This window comes from Homo sapiens, chromosome 15, assembly GCF_000001405.40.
Source record: "Homo sapiens chromosome 15, GRCh38.p14 Primary Assembly".
Lineage (NCBI taxonomy): Eukaryota > Metazoa > Chordata > Mammalia > Primates > Hominidae > Homo > Homo sapiens.
Window position 1 is genome coordinate 31,249,358 of NC_000015.10, and position 7,691 is coordinate 31,257,048.

Below are 7,691 nucleotides of genomic sequence, written 5' to 3' on the forward strand. Positions count from 1 at the left end.
CATAGCAGAAAACCAGTTTTTTATCCTGCCAGGAAAAACTTGATGATTTGGCATTCCCACAGGCTGCCATTGGTGGGAGGGGTGGGCTCAGGTCCAGGTTTAGCCCCTACAGCTGGCCTCACTCACCCACCACACCCCTGCAGGCCTCTGAGTAAGTGCCCTCCACTGCGGCTCCGTGCAGAGAAGTGTATTTTTTATGTATTTTTATTTTTATTTTTTTGAGATGGAGTCTCGCTCTGTTGCCCAGGCTGGAGTGCAGTTGCACCTCTCGGCTCACTGCAAGCTCCACCTCCCGGGTTCAAGCAATTCTCCTCCCTCAGCCTCCAGAGTAGCTGGGATTACAGGCGCCCGCCACCACACCTGGTTAATTTTTGTATTTTTAGTAGAGATGGGGTTTTGTCATGTTGGCCAGGCTGGTCTCGAACTCCTGACCTCAAGTGATCCGAGAAGTGTATTTTTTAAATAAAGGAGTTGAAGGGACGCTATGCTCCTTTTTCATCCCTCATGTTCATTCCATGGGCTGCATCACAATGGTGACGCTAGGACTCATCTAATAGTGACAACATGAGACCCTAGGTAGCACTTACCCTCTGCTGGGCATTACTCTGTCTCAGGAAACTGAGGCTCAGCGAACTTGAGATCCCTCACCTGAGCCCTGCAGCTGGTGAGTGGTGGAGCTGGGACTCACACCCATGCAGAGGAACACCAGAGCCTGAACCCTCCATGGTCGGGCGGATATTTTTCCAAGCATTCTCCTCCAGTCGGTCACTTCATGAGCATAAGGACATGGTCCTCCGCCTGGGAACCCCGGGTGCCTGACGGTTCCCACAGCTCACAGCCTGCCCCTCTGTGTAGCCTTTGGGCTGTGGTCCCCCTCTGATCTGAGGCCAGTCACCTCTGCATGTCCGGGTTTCTGCCTGATTCCAGTCCCTGCCAGGGCAAAGGTGGTCCCCCTGTTGAGGGGCAGGGAGGGAGGCAGCCTGTGCTTTCTGCTGTCTCCATGTGCAGCCTGCGTGAAAGCCAGCAGCCTCATGGTCCAGTCACGGCACAGTGTGACAGTCACAGACAGAGAGGCAGAAAAGACACACAGAACACACAGCTATCTTTGTTTAGGCTGCCTCCTTTCCAGCCCTGATTACTTCAGGACGACTCTTGGATCTAACATAACAGAGTGGTCTCCACACTTGGACACAGGAAGGGGAACATCACACACCAGGGCCTGTCGTGGGGTGAGGAGAGGGGGGGAGGGATAGCATTAGGAGATATACCTAATGTAAATGACGAGTTAATGGGTGCAACACACCAACATGGCACATGTATGCATACGTAACAAACCTGTATGTTGTGCACATGTACCCTAGAACTTAAAGTATAATTAAAAACAAACAAACAAAAAAAACCAGAGTGGTCTTCTTCTCTGCACATTCCAGTGGCAAGACAGAGTTTAGGGGATGCCAAGAGGCCAGCACCATCCACGACTCACTCCAATTTTCATGTAAAGACTAGTGTGCCAAGTGCCGCCTAGATGTGAGCTGTGCTGTCCAGCATGAAGGTGAGACTCTCTAACCCTTAGCACTACTCCATGCCCAAGACTGGAGTCACTGACCCAGCCTGGGGCCAATGGCAGAAGGGCTGCCTGTACCCACACTTGACTTCTGGGGTCCTGAGAGAGAGGAGTGTCCCAACCTCTTATTGCCCCCTTGGGGCAGAGGTTGGGCCCTGAGGTGACAGACAACCTCAAATCCTAGGCTCACTTCGGGTCTTGAGACGTGGGCTTCTCTCCATTCTGTTTTAGAAACAAAAAAAGCAAAAATGCATGATTTCAAGGCGGAGAGGAAGTCTTTGGCTGTTCCATGTTCTTTTCCCTTGTCTCAGGCATGCAGCCTTGCCTGGGAAGGGGCCTGCAGACCTTGGAGGACTTGCTCAGCGCAATGGACAAGCAGCCCTTCTGTCAAACACTCCCCATAGGAAGGTAAAATCAGGTCCCGTGGGTTACCAGAGGGTCGAGCCTCTCCAGTGGGGACTTGCCCAAGTCGCTGTGCGTGCAACTGCACATCCTTGCAGGCAGTTTCTTGCATATTTCCAGTTTCCAGCAGCACCCTGCATTACAGAGCCTGCTTCAGAGTAAGCCCCTAGACCCAGAGCTGGCTCCCAGAGGAACAGGATCGCTAGAACTTATTAGAGCCCCTAATAGAACATCCTGCCACTGACATGCTACTCGCCTTCCAGAAAAACTTGAAGATCCTCAGAGATAGGTGCCCAGAAATCATGGGTTAAAACTGATTTTGGACTTCACAAAAGTTTGATTCTGAGCCTGGAGCACCCAGTCCTGAGCTGAGCATTCTCCTCAAAGCTGGGACTCCAGTCTCCATGTGCCCCATGTGCACTCCGAAAGGTGGCTTCCAGAGTGTTCCAAGCCACCAGGGTTTGAGCAGGGCCATATGACCACATTTGTTTGCATGTATCTCCAAACAGTGAGAGATCATAGTGAAGGGTGCCTTTGGCTTCAGTCTGGGGATAATGCTTTTAGTCCTAGGAGCAGCTGAATTCTTCCCCCAGATCCAAAATTTTGGTCATGTTCCCAGAAGGCAGCCCAGCTGGGGAAAATGATGAAGGCGGAGGCTGGCTTCCTGTGGGGTCACAAGAACCTGCAGGTGATGGGGCGAAGGTCTCCTCCAGCATGTTCTTCCACTGGTCGCGTTACATGCAAAATGCCTTCTCAACACCCCTTGTCTTCTCCAGCAAATAGATGTCTCTGGGCTGGCTCAGTTTAGACTCACTCAAGACCAATTCTCTACACATACTTGCCTCAAGTTATTTCTCCACAAACCTGGCATGTAGGTAATGATACAGATGAGGAAACTGAGGCTCAGAGACTTGAAGTGGTGGGGGCAGGGATTTGATTCCAAAGCTCACGCCCTTGACTCAATTGCTATCTGCCTCCCTGCTGTGTTGAACAACTGGCCCTGTGACAGATATAGTAGCATCATCTCCAGACTGCACGAGAGAGACTGAGCCCGGGGAGTTAGCTAATCAATTAGGATCACAGAGCTTATTAGTGATGGATCAGGACCCACCAGCTGTTAGCTGGCCCCGTGTTTGGTCCCCCATCCCCATTGTGATGGTTTTAAAATAGTCCACAAATGCTTTGCTATTCTTCCCATCAAATCTCCTCTCCATGAGTGTGGGCTGTACTTAGTGACTCACTTCTAATGAATAGTATGTAGAGAAATGATAGTGTGGAAAAAATAGTTACTTACGTTTAGGGGTTGTTCTCTCGCACAGCGTGTGTCTATCTGCAAATAACTCACAGCTCCTGGAGGACAGTAATCTTGTCATAGTCATTTCTTTTATTCCCAGTACCTTGCGCTCTGCCTAGCATATAATAGCTGCTTGATAATTATTTTAATACACAAATGAATGAAAGAAATCATGCAAAATGTTGTCATTGTCATTTCTCCAAAGATATTTATGGGTTCAGATACATCAGCGACTTAGAAATGTTGTTAAAGCTTAGATTTCACCAAGAGAAATCATTAGCAACTCTCTACCATGGTAGGGTCAAAGCTGGGGGCTTACAAAATACAATGTTCAATGTGAATCCTCTAGCTTTTCCACCTAAATCTGTGAAGAGTCCAGATGCTAACTTAAGCCAGAATTATTTTCTTCTTTTTCAGGAAAATCAAAAAATTTTTAGACTCACAAGTACTATGAACTCAGAGTAAGAGATAACTTTCCTATGAAGAGCTATTCCAAAATTTTTATTTTTCTTTTTTTCCTTTTTTTTTTTTTTACACTGAGTTTTACTCTTGTTGCCCAGGCTGGAGTGCAATGGTGCAATGTCGGCTCACTGAAACCTCCACCTCCCAGGTTCAAGCGATTCTCGTGCCTCAGTCTCCCAAGTAGCTGGGATTATAGGCATGTACCACCACACCTGGTTAATTTTTGTATTTTTAGTAGAGACAGGGTTTTGCCATGTTAGCCAGGCTGGCCTCGAATTCCTGACAGGTGATCTGCCTGCCTCAACCTCCCAAAGTGCTGGAATTACAGGTGTGAGCCACAACACCCAGGCTTTTTTTTTGCGGGGGGTGATGGGGGGTCTCACTATGTTGCCCAGGATGGTCTTAAACTTCTGGCTTTAAGCTATCCACCTCAGCCTTCCAAAGTGCTGGGATTACAGGCATGAGCCACTGCACTTATCCTCCAATGTTTTAATAAATAATAAAGCATTTAGGCCGGATGCAGTGTCTCATGCCTGTAATCCCAGCACTTTGGGAGGCCAAGGTGAGCAGATCATGAGGTCAGGAGTTCAAAACCAGCCTGGCCAGCATGGTGAAACCTTGTCTCTACTAAAAATACAAAAATTAGCCAGTCATGGTGGCTCGCTTCTATAGTCCCAGCTACTCAGGAGGCTGAGGCAGGAGAATCACTTGAACCTGGGAGACAGAGGTTGCAGTGAGCCAAGATCACGGCACTGCACTCCAGCCTGGGCGACACAGCAAGACTCTGTCTCAAAAAATAAATAAATAAATAAATAAAGCATTTAATAAAATGCTATTTTGCAGGGGGATTTCTTTTGTCATTTGCCAATGAGTGTTATATATTAAATATTTTAAGCAAACATACTAACTTTAAAATTGTATAATAAAATATATATAATAAAATTATGCTAATCCAAAAACTTCTTATGCAAAGCATGAAAACTAATTCTTATAATTAATGCACAATAATATATTTAGCTATATTTTGAGTTCATTAAACAAAATGAATCATTATAGCACTTTCATACTATATGCAGAAAATTACATTTTGTGGAGAATATATGCATATGTACATCATATATACATAATATGTCTGTGTCACTGATCCTTCATTGAAATTGAATTATCTCAGGCAGAAAATTCACTATGAAGTTGGTGTCAGTGACACTACACAAACTGTGTTATGATATTTTATTTATAAACAATAAAGTTCAATAAAACAACTTAAAAAAAAAGAACATGGTAGAAGTGACTGAGTGTGACTCTGGAGACCAGGTCCTGAAAGGCACTGTGGCTTCCTCCTTGCTTGCCCTCTCTTGTCTCTCTTGCTCTGGAGGAAGCCAGCTACCATGTCTTGAGCATGCTCAATGGCCCATGGAGACCTCTAGTCAACAGCCACCTGGGTAATGCTGGAAGCAGACCTCCAGCCCCAGTCAAGCCTTCAGATGCCTGCAGCCCTGGCCAGTGTGTCTGGACTGCAACTCGATGCAATGCTGAGACTGAACTGCAGAGCTGAGTAACTCCCAAATTCCTGACCCTCAGAAACTTCATGAGATAATAAAAGTTTGTTATTTCAGCTGCAAGGCTTGGGAGTAACTGGTTACACGGCAGCAAATAGCTAATAAACCCATTCCATTTCCCGTTTTTATGATCTTCTGTCATCATGTGCTTGGCACCACTCCCACTCCACTCCAGAGAAAGTCCATGCCATGAAGAAGTGAGGATGTTTTTGGACGTTCTTTTGCACAATAGCATGGTACAACTGCTCGAGCCGTTTCTGGAATATTTTCCAAGAAACTCACCTTCTTCCAAAGGATGAAGAGATCCCAAGGCTCCTCCAGGCCACAGCCTAGAGCTATTCCTGATCTTTTTCATCCCAGAGAACACTCCAAGGCTCTAAAGTAACTACAGTGAGTCGTAAATGAAAGGGAGCCATGCCCAGGGTACTGGTGCCTCTGGCTTGTTGCCTGGGGCACAGGAGCCACCTGTGAGGAGCAACAGCAGCACCTCCAGGTTCTGAAAAAGTGGACAAAAAGGGATAAATGTGGGCCCAAGGCTAGACAGAGCAGAACAGTGGCGGCCACCATAGCAGGCTCATCTATGGGAGGAGCAGGGGCAGCCAGGAGCAGGGGCAGCCAGGAGCAGGGGCAGCCAGAAGCATCCACAGCCCTCCTGGAAGCCTCCATCTTGGGTGACAAGCTGTGCCTCATTTCTGAGAAGAAACGCATGCTGCTACTGACAGCGGTTGCCTCTGGGGCGGGGGACTGGGTGGCTGGCCGGGAAGGAAGACACATTTTTTATTCTGTGTACCTGACTTTGTCTATTGAGTGTTGTTCTATGGGCATGTGTTACCTCTTTAAAGATAGATCAATTACATATATTTAAAGTTATAACTAATCAATTACTACACTCTGCTTAGGTGTTCCTAAAAAGAAGGAGTTTGTGGTTCCATAAGTTTGGGGAACTGAGCTAATGAGCCCCCTTTATGGAGTGACACCTTAATGTCTTCAGGAGCTGAGAAATTCTGTAGTAGAGGATCATGTTTAATCTGCTTAAACCTGAATTTTCCAAGTTTGTTCTACCACATAACTATTTTTTCATAAACTCTGTATAAATAGCCCTGACTATAAATAGCTAGTTGTGTGTTTTATGCCACAAAGCTCGGGTCTGGGCCATTGACAACATAGTTCCAGTTACACACCCTTGGACACCAGGTGCAGGGCCAGAAGGAAGGACCTGAGGGAGGGCGGTGTGGTGTGGCCAGATGTCAGGACGGGAACTTGAAGCAATAGAGAAATTGAGAGTGTGGAAAGGGGATCTCCAGAGAGAAAATCCCCCAACCTACTCTATAATTTTCCCAACGGCAGGCCTGTGAGTTTTCACGCTGCCACCCAGGCTGGAGTGCAGTGGCGCAATCTATGCTCTCTGCAACCTCCACCTCCTGGGTTCAAGTGATTCTCCCCACTCAGCCTCCTGAGTAACTGGGATTACAGGCACCTGCCACCAAGCCCAGCTAATTTTTTGTGTTGTAAATACAGACAGGGTTTCACCATGTTGACCAAGCTGGTCTTGAACTCCTGACCTCAAGTGATCTGCCCGCCTCAGCCTCCCAAAGTGCTGGAATTACAGGCGTGAGCCACATTCCTTCATTCTTAATTCACAAATTCACTAAACATACACCGTGTTTATGGCCTGGGCCTAAGTGAGGTTTGTTGTCTGCCCTCAGGAAACTCACCTCTAGTGAGGAAGATGTGCAGAAAACAGCAGCAGGAGACAGTGCAGCCCCTGTGGGCTTAGGAAAGCCTCTTCCAGAAATGGCCTATGTGCCACACCCAGAGTGTGAGCTGCACTCAGCCCAGGGGAGAAGTGTGGAGGGCGTGCCAGCTGCCCTGGGGAGCCCGGGGCTTCAAGGAGCCAAGAGCAGGCAAGTGGGGCTGGAGCCTGGTTGGGGCTGTGCTGGTGGCTGCCAGGGTCGCTGCCCACACCCGCCGTCTGTGCTCTGCTCTGGGGCTCCGGGGTTTCTGCATGTGCCAGGCACCTCACCCACTGGCTTCTGGTTAGGCCCTGTGGTAGCACCTAACATAGGAGGTGTGGCAGGAGCTCCAAAGGCAGGAGGAAGAGAGGAATGTCCGTATCACAGCATGGCAGTTGTAGCAGCAGGAGCTGGATGATTAGGGACCCCAGAAGCCTGAGCACAGGCGGCACCTTTATCAGCAGTCACAGCTCTGGCAAAGAAGATGCATCCTCCTCGATACAGAACAGCAGTGCCAGCTCCTCCCACAGCCCCTGCTTCTCTACCAGGGCAGCAGCAGGTGCTGACTCTGGGCTCTAGCCCAGTGGTGCAATGGGTTGAGTGTTTGTGTCCCTCCCAGTTTCATATATTGAAATCCTAACTCCTGTGGTGATGGTGTTGGGAGGTGAAGCCTTTGC

The 7,691-nt window shown here is 48.1% G+C and overlaps 1 annotated feature.

Moving 5' to 3' along the window:
- Nucleotides 6,564-7,136: an enhancer, noted in NCBI's record as "H3K27ac-H3K4me1 hESC enhancer chr15:31548124-31548696 (GRCh37/hg19 assembly coordinates)". NCBI's record gives its function as "activates a minimal SCP1, AML or CMV promoter by ChIP-STARR-seq in naive H9 embryonic stem cells {active_cell/tissue: H9 hESC(naive)}" and the evidence as "EXISTENCE:reporter gene assay evidence [ECO:0000049][PMID:30033119]".